Source organism: Homo sapiens, chromosome 12 (assembly GCF_000001405.40).
Source record: "Homo sapiens chromosome 12, GRCh38.p14 Primary Assembly".
NCBI classification, from domain to species: domain Eukaryota; kingdom Metazoa; phylum Chordata; class Mammalia; order Primates; family Hominidae; genus Homo; species Homo sapiens.
The window spans coordinates 31860009-31887439 of record NC_000012.12 but is presented as its reverse complement, the minus strand read 5'-3'; the positions used below and the strand labels follow the sequence as shown (position 1 = coordinate 31887439).

General features: G+C 43.4%; 1 long non-coding RNA gene across 1 annotated transcript, besides 1 other annotated feature; it reads left to right on the top strand.

Moving 5' to 3' along the window:
- Nucleotides 1–236: 236 nt before the first annotated feature.
- Nucleotides 237–10471, top strand: LINC02422 (long intergenic non-protein coding RNA 2422). The gene is made up of 2 exons (NR_135029.1): nucleotides 237–273; nucleotides 9547–10471. It is a non-coding gene; the product is annotated as a long intergenic non-protein coding RNA 2422 (long non-coding RNA).
- Nucleotides 11731–12025: an enhancer, noted in NCBI's record as "tiled region #8897; HepG2 Activating non-DNase unmatched - State 24:Quies, and K562 Activating non-DNase unmatched - State 8:EnhW". NCBI's record gives its function as "activates a minimal TATA promoter and a strong SV40 promoter by Sharpr-MPRA in HepG2 and K562 cells {active_cell/tissue: HepG2 | K562}" and the evidence as "EXISTENCE:reporter gene assay evidence [ECO:0000049][PMID:27701403]".

Genomic DNA, 27431 nt, shown 5'->3' with positions numbered 1-27431 from the left:
GCAATCATGATGGGTGAGGGGTCTGGCTCCTCATTGTCCAGATGCAGTGATCTGGTAAGTTTCAGTTCCTTGATAATATCTGGGAGGCCTGATGGTTGGCTTCATGAGGAAGGAACTCAGATTAAGACAAATGTAACTTTCTCAAGTTTTAAGACTGGGAGGGTCAGTTTTCTTTCAGTTTCTTTCTTTTATTCAAAAGAAACCACAAATACCAGTTCTATCAGACAGTTGGGCCATTTTCAACTCAAGGCATCTGAGTTCCTCCTCATCAAGGTAGGGTGACTTTAAATGTCTACAAAGGTGGGATGTGGATTGTCCTCAGATTCTGTGTTTGTTTATAGGGGTGTGTGAAAAATTTCCCCTATCATTCAGCCTTCATGATGGAAGATCTTTTTCTCCTTTCTTCTTCCTTTAAGTCTCTATTTCCTTTCACTTTCCCCTGCAATCAAGCTGCTTGTTCTTCTATCTCCTTCCTATTCCCAGCTGTGATTTTATCTAGTCTTTGTGAATTAAGAAACTGGTTTAAGAAACTGGTTTCTAAGCATGCATTTTAATCATTTCAAGTCACAGTCAAGTTAGCAATTCTTGAACTTTTTTTCTGCAACATTGTGGCCTGGGGAAGGCGGGAAAGGAGCTTTTGGGGGATCATTAAGAGAGCAAAGCACAAAGGTATACAGCAAATATAAGCAAATGTATACTTCAGGCCCTAACCATGCCACGTTATAACAGAAACACTTTTCTCCAGGACTCTTGTTGGCATCACCCCTTAGGATCCAGATATGCTGGAGAAGATACAAATCATTCTGACTTAAAGAATCTTCAAATCAGTAAATATTTTTTGAGGATCATTGCCATACCATGTACCATGCAAAATGCCAGGAATACAGCAGTTAAACACAAACACACATGGTTCCTGAATTTGTGGACCATGTTTTTATGAACCTCATAGTACCGGCTAGAATTGTGAAATCATTGTAGGCACCATCTCTACTGCAGAGAAGAAAACTTTTGCATATATTGGAGAACTGAGCCTCTAGTCATATTTCAATATTGTCTCCAAGTCCCTTTTAATTCAAGGCCTTCTTCATTACAATCCACATCCTGGAATAGAAACTTAGACTAGTTGATAGCGTACAAGAGTTGACAAGGCAGAGGAGATGCTCAGAGATAGAAAAGGAGGCTTGTCAGAGTTTCCAAGCTAACTACATTGTATATCTCAGATGAGAGAAAAAGGGTTTCTCTCGTTAATTAAGAAATTCCTTTGGAGATTAATGAGGACAGAATGCAGGATGTACAAGAGAATATTCTCAAACCAAACAGCTTTTAACCTGGGAGAATAAAGAGACCCAAAGGGCTAGTCTTTGTCTAGAGCAGAGAAAACACAGAAGAAAATTTAAAAATATTCCTCCATTCCAATATTTGTATAATCTTGAGGAAAAGGCCTTTTTAAGCAAAAGACAAAATCTTTAATCCAGAGGATATAGAAGAAGAAAAAGATTTATGTTTGGCTACATAAAAATTAAAAACAGCATAGTAAAACATGTGACTAAAATGTTAAAAAGCAAAGAGCATTCTGGGGAAAAATATTTGCAACACTTAAGATTGGCACATATATTTCTTACAAGTAATAAGTCCAACAACTTAATAGGAAAATTGGCATTCTACTGACACTCGTTTGAATTTGGGAAAAAAGTTTTTTTAAAAAGAAAATTGGCAAAAGATATAAACCTACTGTTAAAATAAAAATAAATATTAAATAGCATGCATTAAATACTAAACAAAATAAATATGGCATATAAACAAATGAGAAGATGTTCAACTGCATTCATAATTAAGGAAATGCAAATTAAAATAGCAGAAAACCATTTTAACTTAGATGGATAAATCTCCATGGTGCTGGGGAATTTGCTGGAAAATAGACATACTTGGAACTATAAATCTTTGTAGCTGCATTGGTGGGCAATTTGGCATTTTTTTTTTTTATACTTTAAGTTCTGGGATACATGTGCTGAACGTGCAGGTTTGTTACATAGGTATACATGTGCCATGGTGGTTTGCTGCACCCAACAACCCGTCATCTAGGTTTTAAGCCCCGCATGCATTAGGTATTTGTCCTAATGCTCTCCTTCCCCTTGCCCCCCACCCCCTGACAGGCTCCAGGGTGTGATGTTCCCCTCCCTGTGTTCTTGTGTTCTCATTGTTCAACTCCCACTTATGAGTGAGAATATGCGGTGTTTAGTTTTCCGTTCCTGTGTTAGTTCGCTGAGAATGATGGTTTCCAGCTTCATCCATGTCCCTGCAAAGGACATTGAACTCATTCTTTTTTATGGCTGCATAGTATTTCAAAATGTAAAACACAATATTCTTTACATCAGTCATTTCCTGTTTGCTTTCCAACCCATTCCCTACCCTTCTGCTCTGCTCTGTCCCACAGAGGCTGAGCCCTGCAAACTACAGTTCCTAAGCCCCTTTGCTAACTGGCTTTTATTTAGAATCAGCCAATGGAAAGTGCTGGCAGGAGACTGAAGGGTGAATAATTGAATGGGAGAGCCAGCATATTTCTTTCCCCTTTCTGCATCTGGGGGTCTTCCCAGCAGCGGCTGCATCTGTCTCATATATGACCCAGCTCCCACCAGGCAGGACAGCCCTTCCCACCCAGCTTCTAGCCTCTGGTCACACCGGCTCCTCAATTTGTCCCTCTAGCCCTTGGTGGTTTTATCTTGTTGCTGATCTTTTTTTTTTTTTTTTGAGTGGGGGACACTGTTTCATTCTTGTTGCCCAGGCTGGAGTGTAATGGCGCCATCTTGGCTCACCACAACCACCACCTACTGGGTTCAAACGATTCTCCTGCCTCAGCCTCCTGAGTAGTTGGGATTACAGGCCTGTGCCACCACACTCGGCTAATTTTGTATTTTGGGTTTTTTTTTTGTTTTTTTTTTGTGAGACGGAGTCTCGCTCTGTCACCCAGACTGGAGTGCAGTGGCGTGATCTCGGCTTACTGCAAGCTCCGACTCCCAGGTTCACACCATTCTCCTGCCTCAGCCTCCCAAGTAGCTGGGACTACAGGCGCCCGCCACCACGCCCGGCTAATTTTTGTGTATTGTTTTTAGTAGAGATGGGGTTTCACTGTGTTAGCCAGGACGGTCTCGATCTCCTGATCTCATGATCCGCCCACCTCGGCCTCCCAAAATGCTGGGATTGCAGGCGTGAGCCACTGCGCCCGGCCTAATTTTATTTTTTGTACAGATGAGGTCTCACTTTGCTGCCTAGGCTGGCCTCGAACTTCTAGCCACAAGTGATCCTCCCGTTTCAGCTTCCCAAAGTGTGGGGATTATAGGTGTGAGCCACCTCACCTGGTCCAACCATTTTATTTATAATAATTTTTCCTTCATTCTTAGCTGTGTGAGCGTCTGCAGGCAAATACCTCAGCACAAGGATACTCAGTGAAGCATTGCTTTTAAGGGAAAATGCACAGAAACAATCTAGGTATTTATTGATTGGTGATTCATACAATGGAATACTATACAGCAAATTAAAGGAACGAGGTAGATTTATATACGTGGAAAGATAGGCAAGATATTGTTAAGTGAGAAAAGCAAGATGCCAAACAGCATGTACAGTATGAGTTAAAAAAAAAAAAATACACATAGGCCGGGCGTGGTGGCTCACGCCTGTAATCCCAGCACTTTGGGAGGCTGAGGTGGGCAGATCTTGAGGTAAGGAGGTGAGGAGATTTGAGACCATCCGGGCTAACATGGTGAAACCCTGTCTCTACTAAAAATACAAAAAATTAGCTGGGCATGGTGGCATGAGCCTGTAGTCCCAGCTACTCGGGAGGCCGAGGCAGGAGAATCGCTTCAACCCAGGAGGCAGAGGTTGCAGGGAGCTGAGATTGCGCCACTGTACTACAGCCTGGGTGACAGAGCGAGACGCCATCTCAAATTAAAAAACAACAACAAACAAAACAAAACAGCACAGCCAGGCGCAGTGGCTCACATCTCTAATCCCAGCACTTTGGGAGGCCAAGGTGAGCAGATGACTTGATGCCAGCATGTCCAGAATTGGTTCCTTCTGGTGGGTTCTTGGTCTCACTGAGTTCAAGAATGAAGCTGCAGACCTTCGTGGTGAGTGTTACAGCTCTTAAAGATGGTGTGTCAGGAGTTTGTTCCTTCAGATATGTCCAGAGTTTCTACCTTCCAGTGAGTTCATGGTCTTGCTGACTTCAAGAATGAAGCTGCCAACCTTCATGGTGTTACAGCTCTTAAAGGTGGTGCAGACCCAAAGAGTCAGCAGCAGCAAGATTTATTGTAAAGAGCAAAAGAAAAAAGCTTCCACAGCATGGAAGGTGACCTGAGTGGGTTGCCACTGCTGGCTGGGGGGGTGGCCAGCTTTTATTCCCTTATTTGGCCCCACCCACATCCTGCTGATTGGTCCATTTTACAGAGCACTGATTGGTCCATTTTACCGAGTGCTGATTGGTGCGTTTACAATCCTTTAGCTAGACACAGAGCGCTGATTGGTACATTTTTACAGAGTGCTGATTGGTGCATTTACAATCCGTTAGCTAGACACAGAGTACTGATTGGTATGTTTTTACAGAGTGCTGATTGGTGCATTTACAATCCTTTAGCTAGACACAGAGCGCTGATTGGTGCGTTTACAATCCCCTAGCTAGACAGAAAAGTTCTCCAAGGCCCCACTCAACCCAGGAAGTCCAGCTGGCTTCAGCTCTCACCAGGAGTTCAAGACCAGCCTGGGCAACAGGTCAAGACCTGGCTCTACAAAATTTAAAAAATTAGCAAGGCATGGTGGTGCATGTTTGTGGTCTTAGCTGCTTAGGAGGCTGAGAGAGGAGGATCGCTTGAGTCTGGGAGGTCGAGGTTGCAGTGTGCTGTGTTCATGCCACTGTACTCCAGCTGGGGCAACAGAGTGAGACCCTATCTCAAAAAATAAATAAATAAAATAAAAATTTTAAAGACATACATGCATACATGTGTGCTTTAAAAAATAGTGTCTAAAAAACACTCTGGAGCTAGACAGCCTGGGATTACATCTCAGTTTCACTACTTGATAACTTGTTGGGCAATTTACTTGAGTTCTCTGTTTTTGTATCTATCCCTGGTTCCTTATCTGTAAAATGGTGTTATGATAATAATCCTCATAAGGTTTTTTTGACTATTACATGAGTATAATTCAGGAGTTAGCAAACTAATAGCCATAGGCCAAATCTGGCTGTTGCTTGTTTGCTTTTTTTTGAGATGGGGTCTCGCTCTGTCACCAGGCTGGAGTGCAGTGGCCCAATGTCAGCTCACTGTAACCTCCGCCTCCTGGGTTCAAGTGATTTTCCTGTCTCAGCCTCCCAAGTAGCTGGGACTTCAGGCACGCACCACCATGCCCAGTTAATTTTTGTATTTTTAGTAGAGATGGGATTTCACCATGTTGGCCAGGATGGTCTCGATCTCCTGACCTCGTGATCTGCCTGCCTTGGCCTCCCAAAGTGCTAGGATTACTGGCGTGAGCCACTGCGCCTGGCGCTATAGCTTGTTTTTTTAAATAAAGTTTTATTGGAACATAGCTGCATCCGTTAGTTTACATACTCCCTATAGCTGCTTTCTTACTACAACAAAGTGTTGATTAGTTGCAACGGAGACCAAGTGCTCTACAAAGCCTAAAATATTTGCTATGTAACTTTAACATAAAAAATTTGCTTTCTGCTGAATTAATGCATATAAAGTGTTTAGGAGAGTACTTGACACGTAGTAAATGTTCAATGTTTATGGTGGTTATTGTATAAACATGGAAAATTTCTGCAAGGATTCCTGCTTGGGAGTCTGGGACACCATTCTTTGACACCATTTGACTTTTTCTTTTTGTCTTATACCTTTTTATGTTTGATTCTCCATAAATTATTTCTTTAGTTAAAAAACCAATTAGCAGGCCGGGCACGGTGGTGCATGCCTGTAATCCCAGAACTTTGGGAGGCCGAGGTGGGTGGATCACCTAAGGTCAGAGGTTCAAGACCAGCCTGGCCAACACGGTGAAACCCGGCCTCTACTAAAAATATAAAAATTAGCCAGGCATGGTGGCACTCGCTTGTAATCCCAGCTACTCGGGAGGCTGAGGCAGGAGAATTGCTTGAACCCAGGAGGCAGAGGTTACAGTGAGCCGAGATCGTGCCACTGCACTCCAGCCTGGGCGATAGAGTGAGACTCAGTCTCAAACAAAAACAAAAACAATTAACTTAAAAATAATTTTAATTGTCATTAATTATATAATTTATATTATTTATATTTAATGTCCTTTTACATTAAGATAAGCAGAACTGGAAGGGATCTCGTAGTTTGGCACACTATAAACCCTAAACTGGGCCAAGAGCAGTGGCTCACACCTGTAATCCCAGCATTTTGGGAGGCCAAGGCAGATGGATCACCTGAGGTCAGGAGTTTGAGACCAGCCTGGCCAACATGGTGAAACCCTGTCTCTACTAAAAATACAAAAAATTAGCTGGGCCTGGTGGCACGTGCCTGTAATCCCAGCTACTTGGAACGTTGAGGCAGGAGAATCACTTGAACCCAGGAGGCAGAGCTTGCAGTGAGCCGAGATCACGTCATTGCACTCCAGCCTGGGCAACAAGAGCAAAACTCTGTCTAAAACAAACAAACAAACAAAAACCTAAACTGTAGATTCTAAGATTTATGTGGTTTTGAAAGATACAAAGCTATTGGGGAACTTTAGGGGTCCATCTGGGATGGTTTGTCATATCCAGAGCTGCATTTGAGGGCTGGTTCATTTGCAAGTTCCCAGGAAGGCAGAGATAACATGAATTGGTATTTTCCACAGCAGCTTGTCAAGAGCTTTATCTTTTCTCCCATCTGTTTGGATTGGATACTTAACAGCTCTACAGCTGCTCTTTGGAGGAATCTTACAAATTCTGAGGAGAGAGCACTTTGCCTGGAAATCATGCTAAAGTTATCTTTGTAGCTACTTCAGTTATCTATTGCTAGATAATAAACCACTCCAAACTGCTCCTGTTTCTGTAGGTCTGGACACTAGACAGGGCTTGGCTTGATGGTTCTTTTAGTTCATGTGGTGACAGCCATGGTCACTCACTAGGATGGCTTCAGTGAGACGATGGGCTGGGGTTCTGACAAGAAAATCCACAATGGAGATGGTTGATGGTTTTGTTGGAGGTATCTAACAGTTGAGTTGAGAAGGCATGAAGAGTTGGACCCTCAGATGAAATCTGACTGTAACTGGGCCAAATTGTAAAACCAGCTGCATTTGATTTGAACTGTTTATGCTTTGCCTGATCATCAACCTGAAGAGTGTAAACCAAAAATTATATCCTAAGCCCCCAACCAACTGAACAGACAGCTGTCTAGGCCGAGGGGACCCCAGAGCAAGCTGAAAAACTAAATTCCAGGCCATGATGGGAAGGAAGGGTTGGACGTACCTCATTATACTCTCTCCCTTTTAAAGTTTAGGTATAACAGACCAGCATTAATATTAAAATAGAGATCATAAGACTGACAAAAACAGACTCTTTGGTAAGAAGATACCAAATTCCAACTGGTATAATATCACATGACAGATAACAGACCTTGAAGAAAATTAAAATATTTTACCTCAAAATATATTTCTTTGGCATATTTTGAAATGGTCCTGAGAAGCCATCTTTTGAGAAAGAAATTTTGCATCTGTAGAGGATCTTTATTAATGCAGCTAGGCTTTTCCCAGATCTAGCAGAGATTAACTAAGAGTCTGACACCTGTGAAATTCCAAAAGAGACGTTTACCATCTATTCTCTCTGAAGCCTGCTATCTGAGGCTTCATCTATATAACAAGAATCACAGCCCACCCCCCCTTATCTCAACCCAAGCATTTCTTTCTACTGACTTTGTCTTTTTTTTTTTTTTTTTTTTTTTGAGATGGAGTGTCGCTCTGTCACCCAGGCTGGAGTGCAGTGGTGCAATCTTGGTTCACTGCAAGCTCTGCCTCCTGGGTTCACGCCATTCTCCTGCCTCAGCCTCCCGAGTAGCTGGGACTACAGGTGTCCACCACCACGCCTGGCTAATTTTTTTTTTTTTGTATTTTTAGTAGAGACGGGTTTCACCATGTTAGCCAGGATGGTCTCGATCTCCTGACCTTGTGATCCGCCCGCCTCGGCCTCCCAAAGTGCTGGGATTATAGGCGTGAGCCACCACGCCCGGCCTGACTTTAAGTCTTCAGCTTAACTCTTTTGACCAATTCCAAATCAGAAAATCTTTGAATCCACCTATGACCTGTATTGCTCCTTCCTTAAGCTGTCCCGCCTTTCCTGGCCAAACCAATGTATACCTTAGATGTATTGATTTGTCTTTGCCTATAACTTCTGTCTCCCTACAATGTATAAAACCAAGCTGTAATTCAACCACCTCAGGCACACTTTCTCAGGACCTCTTTTAGACTGTTCCCTGGGCCATGGTCACTCATATGGGCTCAGAATAAAGCTCTTTAAATATTTTGCAGAGATTGGCTTTTTTTTTTTTTTTTTTTTACCGACAAGAGACAGCTATGCTGAACTAGATTGATCATCAAAGACGTACTAAATTGTTAACCAGCCATCATCCATTATGAACTATGCTAAAACCTTCCAGATGTGTAAACTCACAGTAGTCCTTCTAAGCCTCTGCCTAATCTCACCAAGACGGAACATGATTTTCCTATTTGCTGGATCTGTGTCTCCCAATTGCAATTCCTGAGACCCAGATTAAAATGCATTTTCTTTTGTTTGCCACTCCACAGTGTTGGTTTTACTTCTTATTAGTTGGCTGGCTCAAAAGTCCAAAAAGGCTTCACTCAATGCGTGGAGCCCCAGTGGTCCTCCACGTGGCCTTTCTCTCTCCATGTAGTCTCTTCTCTTCCAGTTGTCTTGGCTGAGCTTCTTCAAAGCATAGCATCTAGCTTCCTGAAACAAAAATGGAAGCTTCCAGGCCCCTGAAAATTTAAGCCTAGAACAGGAACATAAAACACAACTATACTGGGAATAAAACCTTTCCATCACTAAATTAGGTTCAAGTGGTGGTGGGGGGAGGAAGTGGGCCTGCAAATTTCCTGACATTAGACAGTTTAACTAGAGGGAAAAAGAACATGCTTTATATTCATACATGTGACAGCATTAGAAAGCAGTAGCTTGCTGAACAGCTAGGGGTAAGGGTATATTACAACAACAATTTAATAGGCAGAAGGAGCGGGAAAGCTAGAGCTTCTGTGGGAAGTACAAATGGGCTTTTAGGGAAACCAATGGCAGGTATTACAGTTTATGATAATGTTTGTTTATGCAATTTCTCACCCAGGTGCTAACAGTCAGGCTCCTTCCTGGCTGGAAGCTCCCCCAGAGAGGGGATTTATGGCAGCTTCATTCTCCAAAGGCCCTGCCTATAGTCAGATAAGGGAAGCTCAGAAGAGGCTTCTTTCTGCATCTATAACTTGAATGTCTTAAAAGAATCATTGTACCATAGGGTGGGTTGTGATTCCCTTTAACTTCCACCTCATTCTGTTTATTAGTCAAGGGAAGTCGCAAAACCAGACGGAATTCAAGGGAAGGAAACCGACTCCGCCTCTGATGGCTGCAACAGTATGCACATTCAGGGAGGAAAGGAATTAGCAGTGGTCATCTTTCTGGACCATCTACCACAGTGGCTAAAGTTAACACCTAGAAAGGAAGGTCGTGTTTTCAGCTTCTTTGACTGCTGCTCCAGGTGTCAAACCCTGAAGGGTGAGCTGACGCTAAAGACTGAGTGGTTATTTTTTCCAGAAGAGGAGAAAGATTGAAAATGTGGCCGGCCGATTCTCCCTGATGATCACACAGACAGACCTGCATGACAGTCAAACAGACAGGCCTGCATAGCACCCCAGTTACACAGACGAATTTCCCCAGAGCTGCCTTAACATTGAGCAAATAGTTAAACCTAGGGAAATTGGTGCCCAGACAGCAAAGCTAGAAATGAAACATATGGTCAGTAGGAGCCTTGCGTGGGCTTCTCCCTAACCTGGAGCAAACCAAAATAATAGAGACAGTCTTTCATTCCTAGTGCCAGGACCCGTCTCGGGTCAACGAAATCTGAGACAGTCAAGGTAACAGAGGCAGCTGTTCGAATAGATTCATTGGAGAGTCTAAGGCAGCCCTCCAGACCAAGCTGTAAAGCAGATAAGATAGAAATAATCACTCTGGTACCACAGTAGACAGGCCTTGTAGGTACTGGGCCGCTCACAGCTTAATCCGACTTAGAAAGCATTTTTGCCTCTGACCTTCTAGTTGAAACAAAATTAGTTACCAGTAGACTTAGGCAAATGCTACACTGCACACAGGCGCATAACCCCAACCTATATAAACACTAAGACAATTGTTGACACTTTGAGTTGGCCTGGTGGAATTATCTCCAGCCTTCTGCCTGTATCTGGTTACAGCAATAAATTCCCTTCTTTCCTAGTCTGTCTGCTTCTCGTTATTGGGCCTCAAGAAAATGCAGCCGGACCCGGCTTGGTTCCGGGAACAAAAATGCATATTTTAGGTAGGATGTAATTACAGGGATTGACAATCAAACACATACAACATACTGAAACCATGGACTATGTGTAGCATTAGACAGAAACAGGAAGCACCCAGGATAGGGAAATGGCTGCTTCCTGGAGTCTCTCCACTGCCACTCACCACTGCCACACTGGCTGCTCAGATATGTGGTTAAGAAGCCAAGGCTCACGTGCCCAAGAGTGTTCTGCCCAGGAGGGGAAAAATTCTTTTTCCTTCTACTCATTTTAGATTTACAGGCTGGGCCCTGTAAATTAGATTGACAAAAGACAGATTAACAAGATAAAAACGTTTTTATTTTATTTTATTTATTTTTTATTTTTTTATTTGTATTATTATTATTTTTTGAGACGGAGTTTCGCTCTTGTTGTCCAGGCTGGAGTGCAATGGTGCCATCTCAGCTCACCGCAACCTCCGCCTCTCAGGTTCAAGTGATTCTCCTGCCTCAGCCTCCCGAGTAGCTGGGACTACAGGCATGCGTCACCATGACCAGCTAATTTTGTATTTTTAGTAGAGATGGGGTTTCTCCATGTTGGTCAGGCTGGTCTCGAACTCCCAACCTCAGGTGATCCGCCCGCCTCGGCCTCCCAAAGTGTTGGCATTACAGGCGTGAGCCACCGTGCCCGGCCAAGAAAAAGTTTATTTTTATTTATTTATTTATTTATTTTTGAGACGGAGTCTTGCTCTGTCACCCAGGCTGGAGTGCAGTGCAGTGGCCCCATCTCAGCTCACTGCAAGCTCTGCCTTCTGGGTTCACACCATTCTCCTGCCTCAGCCTCCCAAGTAGCTGGGACTACAGGCGCCCGCCACCACGCCCAGCTAATTTTTTTCGTATTTTTAGTAGAGACGGGGTTTCACCTTGTTAGCCAGGATGGTCTCGATCTCCTGACCTCGTGATCCGCACGCCTTGGCCTCCCAAAGTGCTGGATTACAGGCGTGAGCCACCGCGCCTGGCCGAAAAAGTTTTTTAACATGTGCTGCCTGTATACACATGGGAGCATTCAGTGATGAGTAACTAAAAAGGGTGGCTAGAACTGGGGCTTGTCCAGCATCTTAACAAAATGATGAAGGGAAACAGTGACGGGTTAGTCAAAGCACATAAAATGGAGTCGGGAGGCCATTTCGGTTTGGACCTCAGGCCTGTCTTTTTAAAAAAAAAATTAAATTAATTATTTATTTATAGAGACAAGGTCCTACTACGTTGCCCAGGCTGGTTTAGAACTCCTGGGCTCAAGCAATCCCCCTACCTCTGCCTCCCAAAGTGCCAGGATTACAGGCATGAGTCACGGCGCCCAGCCACCCCACGCATGTCTTAAGCAGAGAACTTCCTGGCTAAACAACTGCCAAAACATCTGTGACTGCTTCCTGCTGAGCTGGGAAGTCCCCAGGAACAGGCCACCTTTTAAACAATTACAGCCTGTCTCCTGACTCCAAGACTGCTTTAGATACGATCACACTGATCATAATAGTTGAAAAACAACTTTTTTTTCCCTTCCCTTTCCTCCTTGCCTTTCCTCACCTCTTCCTTCCTCTCTTTCCCACCACCTCCCTTCCCTCTCCCCACGTTCTCACCCCCTCCCTACCTCATCTCCTATTGTCTTTCAGTATTGATGGAGCTGACATCTGACGGTGTGGGAGGCCTATGTGGATCCCAAGCCCTTGGTCCCTTGAAAAGTACAGCCTGAATCTTCATCCTGCCCCCCCACTGCAGCCCAGCCTGCAATGTCACTTATAAAGCAAACTCAACTTTGGTGTCTCCTCCTTCTCTTGTAGCTGTCACCACAGGTCTGGGTCCAACAGACCCTCTTGGCATCTGGTGGGCAGGGGAGGAGCCACTTGACTTCAAGAAGGTGTGTGAGCCACTGTCCACCTTCAGCATCCAGTCTCAGCCTGTGGAAGTCCTTAAGTTCTTTTTCTTTCCAGGCCCTGGGCTGAGGTGGTTAGTGAAGGAGAAACTGGAGAGACAGCAACTGCTTTGCTCTCGCCTCCCCTTCCCTTGCCAGGTCACACTGTGCTTTCACTCACCCAGTACCTGGTATTCTAGTGCCTGCCTTTCCAACCTCCCAGCTGACCCCAGGCCTGTTTATCTGCAGGATGAGAATGCTCCCATCTGCCCTGCATCTCCTGTGCTTCCTGGAAGATTTAGAGGAGCTTGGAAATGTTAGGTGCCGTGGACTTTTAAAGTTCCATTTTGCAAATGGGAAACCCACCTCCCCAAAGCCCCAGACCTAGCGAAAAACAACTTTTCTAGTCGCCCCTTTCCTGATTCATCCTTTTTTTCTTTTAAGGCCCGAGTCTCTTTTTTGATTTCTGGAGCACTTCTCAAGGTAACCTGGAAGTGTTTTCAGACTGCAGTCACTCACATTTGGCTCAGATAAATTATTTGACGTTTAAACCATGCCTCAGTTTTTTCTAGCTTCATAAGAAAGAACATTTGTAGAGAAATGATAATACAAAGGAAAACGACTTTAAGTTTCTAGGGTGATAAATTGTGGGAAAGTAAATATGTTTAAATGGGGGAACTAATAGATGGTAAGAGCTAGTTAATGAAGTTTGAAATGTAGATTCCTCTGGTGTCATCTCTGGGCTGATAAGAATCTACAGTTGTCTCCAGTGATTAACTTTGGTCCTTCCTGGTAGAAAGGGAAGGGCAGACACCTTTAAAAATTTTTGTCCTGGTGAACCAGGCGTGGTGGCTCACGCCTGTAATCCCAGCACTTTGGGAGGCCGAGGCGGGTGGATCACGAGGTCGGGAGATCGAGACCATCCTGGTTAACACAGTGAAACTCCCTCTCTACTAAAAATACAAAAAACAAAATTAGCTGGACATGGTGGCGGGCGCCTGTAGTCTCAGCTACGTGGGAGGCTGAGGCAGGAGAATGGCGTGAACCTGGGAGGTGGAGCTTGCAGTGAGCCGAGATTGCGCCCCTGCATTCCAGCCTGGGCGACAGAGCGAGACTCTGTCTCAAAAAAAAAAATTTGTGTCCTGGCTGGCGTGATGGCTCATGCCTGTAATCCTAGCACTTTGGGAGGCAGAGGTGGGAGGATTGCTTGAGCTCAGGAGGTTGAGGCTGCAGGGAGCCATGTTTACACCACTGCACTCCAGCCTGGTGACAGTGCGAGACCCTGTGTCAAAAAACAAACAAACAAACAAAAATTATGTCCTGCTTTTAGGCAAATATGGAGGGCAGGCAGAGAAGTTTTCTTGTATCTGCATCTGCTTCTGATACGGACAGGGGACAGGGAAAATACTGGTTAGAAGAGGGTGGATCCCTGGCAAAGACCTCACCTTCAAGCCTGAAGACCTGCGGCCCTAAATGAGGACAGGCATTCCTGTTTTCAAGACAAAGAGGTTGCCTTTTGTCCCTCCACACCCTCTATCCTGCCCCCACGTAAACCGCAAACCCCAAGCTCCACAGCAGAGCAGCAGGTGAGTAGAGGAGGATACCAGCAGATGGACGGTGGAACAGCACAGCAGGGAAAGAGAGAAGAGGAGAGACGTCTGGATGCCAAGAGGAGTTCAGCTGGGGGCGGTAGGAAAGGAGTCCAGCCGCTGGGCGGCCTGACTCCAGGGGAAGATCACCTTCCCATTCCATCCACCCACCGTCTGGCTCTCCATCCATCCCTCTGAAAGCCACCTCCACCACTCAATAAAACCTCGCATTCATCCTTTGAGTCCGTGTGTGACCTGATTTTTCCAGGACGCTGAACAAGAGCTCGGGATACAGCAAGCTATCATGTTGGCCCTCTGCCCTTGTGAAAAGGCAAAAGGTCCATTAAGCTGGTTAACATTCAAGCTGTCTTCGGGCGGCCAAGCTGAAAGCTTTGTAACGCTGGGGCTGCAGGCATCCACTCCTAGACACTACAGCCGGGCCAGACCCCAGAGCGCTCACCCCAGCCTCTGCACCTGCCTGTCTGCATGCTCTCTGTCTCACAAGGGGATTAAGCAGTGAGGCAACTGAACAGGTGAGCTACACTTCTGTTGCACGTCCTGCAAGGGGAATCAGGGAAGTATCCCATTTCCCTTCCTTTCACTGTCTTTATCTCAAAATAATCAATATGCCAAAGTGGCATGTTTGGAGTGGCATGTTTTGCTACTCTTCAGTTCACTTGAAGAATTCATTTGTGGGACTTAACCTTTAAGTTGCTTTTTTGTTTCCTTTTTTTCCTTCATTAAATGTCTCAGGAACAGTATAAAATATGATTTTCCTTCTCTCAACCTCCCAGCCCCATAACCTCCCATAGTCTAGCCTTTACATTCACCACCCTACTGAGATTCATCAGTTGAGCCTCACAGTGGCATTCTAATGAACAAATCCCATGGCTTTCTCAATTGCTCACAAATCCTCTTACGGCATTTGAGAGTATTGATCACTCCATACTTGACATATTATCTCTTCCTGGTTTTTCTGATATTCAAAGCCCTGGTTCTCACCTATCTGACCCTTCTGCTTCTCCTTCTGGGATATATGTATATATATTTTTAGATTAACTTTTTGAAGGCCAGGCATGGTGTCTCATGCCTGTAATCCCACCACTTTCAAAGGCCAAGGCAGGCAGATCACTTTGAGCTCAGGAGTTCCAAGACCAGCCTGTGCAACATGGTGAAGCCCTGTCTCTACAAAAAATACAAATATTAGCTGAGTGTCGTGGCGCACACGTATAGTCCCAGCTACTTGGGAGGCTATTGATATAGGAGTTAAAAAGAAATGATTTAGGCAGATAGTGAGGGTAAGAAAGTCCTCAGTAAGGTTTTCCTTTTAATGAAAAGCAGTCCCCAAGTCATTTCTTTTTGAAAAAGTCAGCCTGTAAAATTGAGCTGCAGACATAGATAAGCAAGCTGGAACCTTGCATGGGTGAATGCCGGCAGCTGTGACAATAGGAAAAGGTTACCTGGGGGCTAGGCATGTTCAACATGGCAGCTCCATCTTCCCTTTTCTTTGTCAACCACATGTCCAGTAAGGAACAGGCAACATGGCTCTGGCCAGGTAGAAAACCCATTTGCATAATAAAAGATTAAGGTGGGGTGGCCAGCTTCTTCGTGAGCTATGTAAACGTCACACCTGGTCTAACCAATCTTTGGGCCCTATGTAAATCAGACACTGCCTCCTCAAGCCAGTCTATAAAACCCGTGCACCTCACCATGGAACTGGAAGACCCACTCGGGCACCCCTCTCTCTGCAGGAGAGGGAGCTATTCTCTTTTCTCTTTCTTTTGCCTATTAAGCCTCTGCTCTTACTCATCTCTTGTGTGTCCGTGTCTTCGATTTCCTTGGTATGAGACAATGAACCTTGGGTATTTTCCCAGGCAAATGACACCACTTCACTGTGGTGGGAGGATCGCGGGAACCCGGGAAGTGGAGGTGGCAGTGAGCTGAAAATCATTATTTTCTATCTTCTTGGCTAGCTCTTCTTGTTTCTCTTGCCCTACCCTCCCATCTTCATTTCATCAGCCCCAGAGACTAAAAGAATTGGAAATAGACCCAGCCAAGTGGGCGCTGGGGGTGAAAGGGTGCTCAGTAAAGTTTTTGGTCTCTGGCAACAAGTGCGCCTCAGTGTACGTGGAATGATATGAGACCCACTGCAAAGACCTAGCATTGGTCGGGCCTGGTGGCTCACACCTGTAATCCCAGCACTTTGGGAGGCCGAGGCGGGAGGATCACTTGAGGTCAGAAGTTTGAGACCAGCCTGGCCAACATGGTGAAACCCTGTCTCTACTAAAAATACAAAAGTTATCTGGGTGTGGTAGTGCATGCCTATAATTCCAGTTACTCGGGAGGCTGAGGCAGAACCACTTGATCCCGGGAGGAGGAGGTTGCAGTGAGCCGAGATCGCACCACTGCACTCCAGCCTGGGCAACACAATGAGACTTTGTCTCAAAAAAAAAAAAAAAAAAAATGGCCAGGCGCGGTGGCTCACGCCTGTAATCCCAGCACTTTGGGAGGCGGAGGCGGGCAGATCACGAGGTCAGGAGATCGAGACCTTCCTGGCCAACACAGTGAAACCCCGTCTCTACTAAAAACACACAAAAAAATTAGCGGGGTGTGGTGGTGGGTGCCTGTAGTCCCAGTTACTTGGGAGGCTGAGGCAAGAGAATGGCGTGAACCCAGAAGGCAGAGCTTGCAGTGAGCCGAGATCACGCCACTGCCCTCCAGCCTGGGCAACAGAGCGAGACTCCGTCTCAAAAAAATAAATAAATAAAAATAAAATAGGCCAGGCGCAGTGGCTCACACCTGTAATCCCAGCACTTTGGGAGGCCGAGGCGGGCGGATCACGAGGTCAGGAGATCGAGACCATCCTGGCTAACACGGTGAAACCCCGTCTCTACTAAAAATACAAAAAATTAGCCAGGTGTGGTGGCGGGCACCTGTAGTCCCAGCTACTCAGGAGGCTGAGGCAGGAGAATGGCAAGAACCCGGGAGGCGGAGCTTGAAGTGAGCTGACATTGCGCCACTGGACTCCAGCCTGGGCGACAGATCAAGACTCCCTCTCAAAAAAAAATAATAAATAAAATAAAAGACCTAGCATTAAGAGCTCTCTTCAACAGACATACTGGTATGCAAGCAAAATTCTCCCAGAGATAGGAGTATCTAAGACAGGGCTAAGAAATGGGACAGTAGAAGGAATGGTCAATACTGCACAGTCTGTGTTCTGGAGAGGCTTGACAGTCTTATGGGAAGGAGAAGCTGAACAATGAAATTAGAGACTGTGATATTATGAAATATATATTTGGCCTTTGTCCTGTTTCCTGGCATAAGAACTCCTACAATCTGTGAAATCTGCAAAGTGAGAAATGTCTTTTTGTATGCTAATAAATTGACTTACGGCTGGCAGCCTCTAGGCTTCAGGATGGGGGCTGGTCACCTGAAAGACTAAGGTAGGATTTGCTGGTTCGAACTTTTAGCCCTACTCCTCAACCTCCTGGGAGGGGACAGGGGCTGAAGGTTAAGTTGATCACCAGTAGCCAATGGTTTAATCAATCATGCTTATGTAACAAAGACTCCATAAAAACCCCAAAAATCAGTGTTCAGAGGTTTTTCGGATGACTGAACACATGGAGATTCTTGGAGGGTGGTGTATTCAGAGAGGGCCTGGAAGCTCCATGCCCCTTCCCTCACCCCATGCCCTATGCATCTCTTCATCTGGTGTTCATCATTATTCTTCGTAATATCCTTTATAATAAACCAGTAAAGGTTAGTTAAGTGTTTTTCTGAGTTCTGTGAGCTGCTGTAGCAAATCCATCAAACCCAAGGAGGGGTTTTTGGGAAACCCGATGTATAGCTTGGTCAGTCAGAAGCACAGGTAAAACAACCTGGAGCTTGCAATTGGCATCTGAATGGAAAACAGGGCAGTCTCGGGAATTGAGTCCTCAACCTGTGGAATCTGATGCTATCTCCAGGTGGATAGTGTCAGAACTGAGCTGATTTAGAAGACACCCAACTGGTCAGGATTGATTGATTAGTTGCTGGTGAGAAGAAACCCCTACACATTTTGGTGATCAGAGGTCACAGGAGTCTTCTACGTTGATTGTTAGTGAGAGACTAGGAGAAACTCCTTTTTTTTTTTCTTTCCTATATTCTCAGAGATCCTAACCTGAGAGGAGAAATTTAAGTGCTGGAACACAAGGATTGCTACCAGCTGCTCCTGGGCAAATGGCCAAATTAACGTGCCAGGGATCTGACTGTGACCTTGCCTGTGTGTGTGTGTGTGTGTGTGTGTGTGTGTCCAAACTACTGGGGTTCCTAAGAGATAGCCACCTAGAAAACAAAAGCAAAGCAAGCAAAACCATAAATAATCAGTCTGGTCTGGTGGCTGGAGGGGACTAATGGGCAGTGATGTAAGAAACCCATAATTACTGAATCATAGCTATATTTATAGTTGTATCTTCTCAAATGCTAAAGATTTTACTTAACGTATTAATTAAATGAGAAAAGTAGGCAGATGTTATAACCTGTTCAAAGGCGTCAAAGAAGAAGAAATTTATGTGGAGTAAACAAATGTAGAAATGATTGTGCAAACTGGCTTGGGGTGGGGCAGGTGGGTTGGCCTCCCCCTAACAGACCATTGTCATATATATAGATAAGAATTATTTTACATTAATTCTTGTATCTTGTTATCAATATAGTATTAATTACTTTGCATTGCTAACAAACCTATAGAGTTATAAAGTAACTCTCATAGAATCAGATAACCAGGAAGGATGCAATTTATAAAATGCAGTTTTCGATGGAAGCACAAATTTCTCCCTAAAATGTAAAAGTCTGGAAGAATACATAACAAAGTCTTTGCCCTGTACAAAGGTGGGGGGTGCGGCCGGGAGCAGTGGCTCATGCAGGCAATCCTAGCACTATTAGGAGTCTGAGGTGAGTGGATTGCTTTTAGTTCATGAGTTCGAGACCAGCCTGGGCAACATGGCAAAACCCCTTCTTTACAAAAAATATTAGCCACGCATGGTGGCATGCACCTCCCAGCTACTCGGGAGGCTAAGGCAGGAGGATCACTTGCACCCGGAGGTCAAGACTACAGTGAGCCATGATCACACCACTGCACTCTAGCCTGGGTGACAAAGTAAGACCCTGCCACAAAAAAAAAAAAAAAAAGAAAAAAGAAGGTTGGGGATATATCTATGTGTTTTCCTTTAAACACTTATGTAAAGTTAAGTGCTTTTACAAGAATGTATTCATTGCAAAATTTGCTCTAAAAGAAAGAAACCACATTTAAAAGTTGACGTGAGTTGAGTGCCATATAGTCTAAAAGATGAGCAGAGCTCTGTAGTCAGTGGCTGGGTTTGCATCCCAGATTCACCCTTTACAGCTGTTTGATCTTAAGTTACATAGCCTAAGGCAGTTTCTTCAGCTGTGAAATGGAATGATATTAATACTGCCCGTTAAAAACATTTTAACTGGGGGCGGAGCGTGGTGGCTCATGCCTGTAATCTCAGCACTTTGAGAGGCCAAGGTGGGCGGATCACCTGAAATCAGGAGTTTGAGACCAGCCTGGCCAACAAGGCGAAACCCCATCTCTACTAAAAATACAAAAATTAGCCACACATGGTGGCATGCACCTGTAATCCCAGCTACTCAGGAGGCTGAGGCAGGAGAATTGCTTGAACTCGGGAGGTGGAGGTTGCAGTGAACCGAGATTGCGCCACTGCACTCCAGCCTGGGTGACAGAGGGAGACTCTTTCTCAAAACAAAACAAAACAAAACAAAACAAAACATTTTAACTGGGAGGCCATTAGGCTGAGATAGTCTCAGCTTTTTGGGTTCCTATGTAAGCAAACTGAGGCCCAATGTAAAAAGTAAAACAAAACTAGAGACTTAACCAACCAGAAACTGTCAATTAACTTCTAACTAGGGACTTTCCATGGGTTTATACCCAAATAAGGGCAGGTCTACTTGTAGCCAATCAGGAGATCTTTCCTCATTTGAAGATCCTGGCACTCTTCTTAAAAATGTTGACCATAAACATGTGGGTTTACTTCTGGACCCTCAATTCCATTCAATTGATCTACATGACAATTCTTAGACTACAGCCACACAGGTTTGAGTACTACAGCTTTTCAATAAGTTTTTTGTTTTTGTTTTTTTGAGACGGAGTCTCGCTGTGTCACCCAGGCTGGAGTGCAGTGGCATGATCTCAGCTCACTGCAACCTCTGCCTCCCGGGTTCAAGCAATTCTACTGCCGAGTAGCTGGGATTACAGGTGCCCACGACAATGCCCAGCTAATTTTTGTATTTTTAGTAGAGATGGGGTTTCACCATGTTAGCCAGGCTGGTCTCAAACTCCTGACCTCAGGCGATCTGCCCACTCGGACTCCTAAAGTGCTGGGATTACTGGTATAAGCCACTGCTTCCAGCCCTTATTAAGTTTTTACATTGCAAAGTGCGAGTCCTCCAACTTTGTTCTTCTTGATTGTTTTGAGTATTCTAGGTCCCTTGCAATTCCATATGAATTTTAGATCATTTTGTCAATTTCTATAACTAGCTGGAATTCTGATCAAATCTTCAAATCTGTAAATCTATAGATCAATTTGAGGAGTATTGCTTTTGTTTGTTTTGTTTTTGAGACAGGATCTCAGTCTGTCACCCAGGCTGGAATGCAGTGGTGTGATCACAGCTCACACCAGCCTTGGCAGCCTTGACTTCCTGCACTGAAGCGATCCTCCAACCTCAGCCTCTTGAGTAGCTGAGACCATAGGCGTGCACCACCACACTCAACTAATTTTTTTTAAATTTATTTAATTTATGTTTTTTGAGAGGGAGTGTTGCTCTCTTGCCCAGGCTGGAGTGCAGTGGCGTGATCTCAGCTCACTACAACCTCTGCCTCCTGGGTTCAAGTGATTCTTGTGCCTTAGCCTCCTGAGTAGCTGAGACTACATGCATATGCCACCATGCCAGGCTAATTTTTGTATTTTTAGTAGAGATGGGGTTTCACCATGTTGGCCAAGCTGGTCTCGAACTCCTGACCTCAGGTGATCCACTCACCTCGGCCTCCTAAAGTGCTGGGATTACAGGCATGAGCCCCTGTGCCTGGCTGGGCTAATTCTTAAATTTTTTGTAGAGATGGGGTCTTCCTATGTTGCCTCGGCTGGTCTTGAACTCCTGGGCTCAAGTGATCATCCTAGCTCAGCCTCTCAAAGTGCTGGGATTACAGACATGCACCACTGTGCCTGGCCGAGTATTGCTATCTTAACAATATTATCTCCCAATCCATGAACATAGAATGTTTTTCCATTTATTTGGATGTTTTTTAGTTTCTTTCAAGAATGGTTTGCAGTTTGGGGAGTATAATTTTTGCATTTCTTTTGTTAAAGTTATTCCTAAATAATGTATTCTTATTGATACTATTGTAGATGAAACTTTTATTAATTTTATTTTTGAACTGTTCATTGCAAGTGTGTAGAAACACGATTGATTTTTGTGTATTGATCTCATATCTTGCAGCCTTGCTAAAATTATTTATTAGTTCTAATCTCCCCTCTTAAGGCTTAAACTCTAGTTGGAAATCAAGGTTAGGGGAGGGGTACAGCCAAGGACTTACATTTCTTTTTTTTTTTTTTGAGGCAGAGTCTTGCTCTGTCGCACAGGCTGGAGTGCAGTGGCGCGATCTCAGCTCACTGCAACCTCTGCCTCCCGAGTTCAAGCAATCCTTTGCCTCAGCCTCCCGAGTAGCTGGGATTACAGGCGCCCACCACCCCACCCGGCTAATTTTTTGTATTTTTAGAAGAGGCGGGGTTTCACCATCTTGGCCAAGCTGATCTTGAACTCCTGACCTCGTGATCCACCTACCTCGGCCTCCCAAAGTGCTGGGATTACAGGTGTGAGCCACCATGCCCGGCCAGGATTTACACTTCTTATTGTTCACACTTCACTTTTTGTTTTTTCATTTTTACATTTATTTTATTTTATTTCTTTTTTTTTTTTTTTTTTTGAAATGAGGGTCTTGCTATGTTGCTGAGGCCGTTCTCAACCTCCTGGGCTCAAGCAATCCTCCCACCTCAGCCTCCCGAGTAGCTGGGATTACAGGCACATGCCACCATGCCCAGTCACTTTTTGACATATAAAACTATGCACATGTATTGCTTTCATAGAGATAAAAATAATATAAAAAGTATCCTGGCACAGTCCCCAGGACAACTCTTTACAGCTGCCACTCATCAGCTTAGTGTCTTGACAGTTAAGGCCAGGCCAAGGTCCCACTGTGACCTTTTTCCCTCCCTAAAGCTGCTTTGGGACTCTTTACCTTAAAGGGGTTAAAAAGAGGGAGAAATGTTTATAAATTCTAAAAGTAACTTAAGATAATATTTTAAAGTACTTAGCCATTAAAAGTAACTTTTATTTATCAAGATACAATTAGGTATCTGGCAAAGATGGCATGTCAAATCACTGAAGTAAAGAAAGACTTTGAAAAAATGCTAGAACAAATGGGTAGGCACTTGGAAAATATATATAGATGAATACTTCACACCATATGTAAGAATCAACTTCTAATAGATGAGGGATCTATATGTAAAAAAGGAAACCATTCAAGCACCATTAAAAGTAACAGCAGGGCTGGGCACAGTGGCTCATGCCTGTAATCCCAGCACTCTGGGAGACCGAAGTGGTCGGATCACCTGAGGTCAGGAGTTCAAGACTAGCCTAGCCAACATGGTGAAACCCCATCTCTACTAAAAATACAAAAAAAAAAAAAAAAATTAGCTGAGCATGGTGGCACGCACCTGTAATCCCAGCTACTCGGGAGGCTGAGGCAAGAGAATCACTTGAACCTAGGAGGTGGAGGTTGCAGTGAGCCAGTCGTGCCACTGCACTCTAGCCTGGGCAACAGAGCGAGACTCTATCTCAAAAATAAACAAACAAACAAACACATAAATAAATAAAAGTAATGGCAAAACCTCAATCACTTTTGCACCAACATATTAGAAAAACACACGGGTAGATTCCTCTTTAACTTCAGTGTAGGGAATGGCTTTTGAACTGGGGCTCAAAATTCAGACGTAATAAAAGATTGATAAATGTGATGATATGTAAATGCTTAAATTTGCGTGACAAAAGTACCATAAAGAAGGACAAAGGATAACTGACAAAAATAGGAGAAAATATTCACACATATACCATAGACAAGGAGTAAAATCCTTAAAATATAAAAAATGCTTAAAATTTGAGGACAAAGGACCAAAAACTCAACAGAAAAATGGGAAAAGATGTGAACAGACAACAAACAAAAAAAGATAGAAAAATGTCTCTCAAATATATGAAAAAATGTCAGACTCATTCATAATTAGAAAAATGCAGATTAAAACAACACTGAGATACCATTTTTACCTGGAAAAGTTTAGATAGACAAAAATTTAAAAATACAGACTGACAGTATATTCTGTTGGAGAGACTGTAAGGGAAATACACAGTCTCATTCATTACTGGTGGGAATGAAAATTGGTTCAACGCTTCTGGAGAGAAATTTGGTAATATCTGAATAAACGACATATGCACTTATATTTTGACCCAGCAATCTCATTTCTAGAAATTTACCCTGAAGATAAACTTCCAACAATATAAACATATATATGCATAAGTTTATTGCAGGTTTGATTTTTTGTTTTTGAGACGGAGTCTCGCTCTGTCGCCCACGCTGGAGTGCAGTGGCGTGATCTCGGCTCACTGCAAGCTCTGCCTCCTGGGTTCACGCCATTCTCCTGCCTCAGCCTCCCGAGCAGCTGGGTCTACAGGTGCCCGTCACCACGCCCGGCTAATTTTTTGTAATTTTTTGTATTTTTTTGTATTTTTAGTAGAGACGGGGCTTCACCATGTTAGCCAGGATGGTCTCGATCTCCTGACCTCGTGTTCCGCCTGCCTCAGCCTCCCAAAGTGCTGGGATTACAGGCATGAGCCACTGCGCCCGGCCAATTTTTTTTTTTTTTTTTTTTTTTTAAGACAGAGTCTTGCCCTGTCACCCAGCCTGGAGTGCAGTGGCGCGATCTCGGCTCACTGCAACCTCTGCCTCCAGGGTTCAAGTAATTCTCCTGCCTCAGCCTCCCAAGTAGCTGGGATTACAGGCATGTGCCACTACTTCAAGAATTGAAAAAACATACTGGTTTTTATACCTTTTGCATATTTATCTTTTTTTAAATTTTTTTAGACAGGATCTCACTCTCTTGCCCAGGCTGGGGTAGAGTGGCATGATCATGGCTCACTGCATCCTTGACCTTCTGGGCTCAAGGGATCCTCTCACCTCAGCCTCCTGAGTAGCTGGGACTAGGGGCATGCATCACCACACACCCAGCTAATTTTTTATTTTTTGTAGAGACCAGGTCTCGGCATGGTTCCCAGGCAGGTCTTGAACTTCTGCACTCAAGCAATCCTCTCCCACCTTGGCCTCTAAAAGTGTTGGGATTATAGGCATGAGCTACTGCATCTGGCCTGTATTTTTATCTTGAATACAACTACCATATCACTACTTTTATTGATTCAAGTAGTTTTTTTTTTTCTTCAAACCGGAGTCCTTGGGATATACAGGCATAAATCTTTTTTTTTTTTTTTTTTTTTTTTTTTTGAGACGGAGTCTCACTCTGTCACCCACACTGGAGTGCAGTGGCACGATCTCGGCTCACTGCAAGCTCCACCTCCCAGGTTCATGCCATTCTCCTGCCTCAGCCTCCCGAGTTGCTGGTACTACAGGTGCCCACCACCAAGCCCAGCTAATTTTTTGTATTTTTAGTAGAGATGGGGGTTTCACCGTGTTAGCCAGGATGGTCTCGAACTCCTGACCTCATGATCCGTCCGCCTCGGCCTCCCAAAGTGCTGAGATTACAGGCATGAACCACAGTGCCCGGCCGCATAAATCTTATAATCAGCTGAAAGATATCATTTTATCTTTTCTTATCCAATATATATACCAGTTGTTTAACTTTTTTGTATTATGTATTCTATGTATTTATCATAATATTTAAAATAATATAGTTCCACGTTCTAATAGTCCATCATTTAAAACAGGAAAAAGAAGAAAATCATATAAAGGGAAAGATTGATAAATTGTATTATATTAAAATTAAGAACTTCTGGTTTTCAAAAGATACCACAATGAAAATGAAAATATAAGCTACAAACTGGGAGAAGATATTTGGCACATAATTGACAAAGAATTATAACTGAGAAAAACATAACTAACTTCTACAAATAAGTAAGAAATACCAAACAACTCAGCCGGGCACAGTGGCTCACACCTGTAATCCCAGCACTTTGGGAGGCTGAGGTGGGCAGATCATTTGAGGTCAGGAGTGGGAGACCAGCCTGGCCAAGATGGTGAAACCCTGTCTCTACTAAAAAAATACAAAAATTAGCCAGGTGTGGTGGTATGTGCCTGTAATCCCAGCTACTCAGGAGTCTAAGGCACGAGAATCACTGGAGCCCAGGAGGTGGAGGTTGCAGTGAGCCGAGATCACCCCTGCACTCCAGCCTGGGCAATGCATCGAGATTCTGTCTCAAAAAAAAAAAAGAAAAAAATAAAGAAATACCAAACAACCCGTGAGAAAAATGGAAGAAAAACACATACATACATTTCATGAGTATACAACCCACAGAAACACGAACAGAAGCACAGTCTCACTACTTAACAGGGAAAGGCAAATTCAAACCATAATGAGATAATTTTATACCCACCATATTGCAAAAAAAAAAAAAAAAAAGGAGTTAAGTTTGACACAATCAAAAGATGGCAAGGATGTGGAGCAATAAGCAACCTTACACACGGCTGATAGGACTCCAAATTGGTGTATTGATTTTGGAAACCAATTTGGCATTATCTAGAACACCTGAAATGGATGTGCCCTATGACTCAGAAATTCCATTTACTGGGCATGTGCTCAGGAGAAACTCTTACATGTGGGCGCAATGAGGCAAACAAGAATGTTCAAAGCTATATTATGTATCATAACAAAAAACTAGAAACAGCCCTTATGTTCTCAATTAGAATGGACAAACAAATCCTGATATAACAAAATAATAAAATACTGAAAGCAATGAAAATAAACTACATCTACATGAATTAAAATCTATACATTTCATTGACATAATGTTGAGTAAGAAAAGAGCTAGCTGCCAAAAATATATTTATAATGTTGGTTTCATTCATATTAAGTTAAACGTGTAAAAATAAAAGTATATGTTTAAAACTATATGTTTTAAGGATACATGTGTATTTGATTAAACTATGATTAAATTAAATTAAACTTGATTACAGAATGAGGAAAACTATGGTTGGAGAAATTTGCAGGCAGGATCAGGGAAGAGTCTACAGCGTATTTCTTAAAACTAGATATTTCTTGCCTTGACATCTCAGCAAACAAACAAAACTGGGTATTTCTTAAACTAGGTGGTGGGTACACTGGTGTTCATTTGATGGTTATTGTCTATACTACTTGTTATTAAACTTGGCTGCAATTGGGATCGCCTAAAGGGCTTAAAAATAATACCGATGCCTCACTCCCACCTCAGAGATTTTGATTTAATTTCATGAGGTCTGGCAAATATTATCCTAAATGGAAACCCTAAAGATTCCTTAAAATGTATTACTCTAAAGATAAATGGCCTCATTCCTGATGTTTTTTAAAACTTTTCATTTTGAAATAATTTCAGACTTACCTCAAAGTTTCCAAAATAGTAGCGTTCCTGTAGTATCTTTTACCCAGCTTCCTCTAGTGTTAACACTTACGCAACCTAGTACAATGATCAAAACCGGGAAATTAACATTGCTAAATACTGTTCTTCAGCCGTTATTCAAATATTGCCAGTTTTCCCACTAATGTTCTTTCATTGGTCCAAGGTCTAATCCAGGATCTTACATTTCTCTAAGCCATCATGTCTTCTTAGTCTATTCCAATCTGTGACAGTTCCTCAGTCTTTCTTTGTCTTTCATGACCTTAATACTTTTGAGGACTGCTGATTAGTTATTTTACAGAGAGTAGCTGAATTTAGTTTGTCTGATATTTTCTTACAATTAGATTGAGGTTATGCATTTTTGGCAAGAATTCCACAGCAGGTATGTTGCCCCCTTCTTGGTGCATTATGTAAGGGATTATATTATGTTGATATATCTCATTACTGGTGATATTAACTCTGATCACTTAGTTAAGGTGGTGTCTATGAATTAATCAAGTTATCAAATCTCTCTTATTTCATTCTCAAAGGAAAACTCATCAATTATTGAGGACCTCTGACTGTCACTCTAATGCATGAATAAAGAGGTGCTGGATTAAAATACATGGGCATACAGACATACATGCACATATGTGCACATACAAATTAAAGACAAGATATTTCAACTCCATTATATTCATCAGTGATATGGTTTGGCTGTGTCCC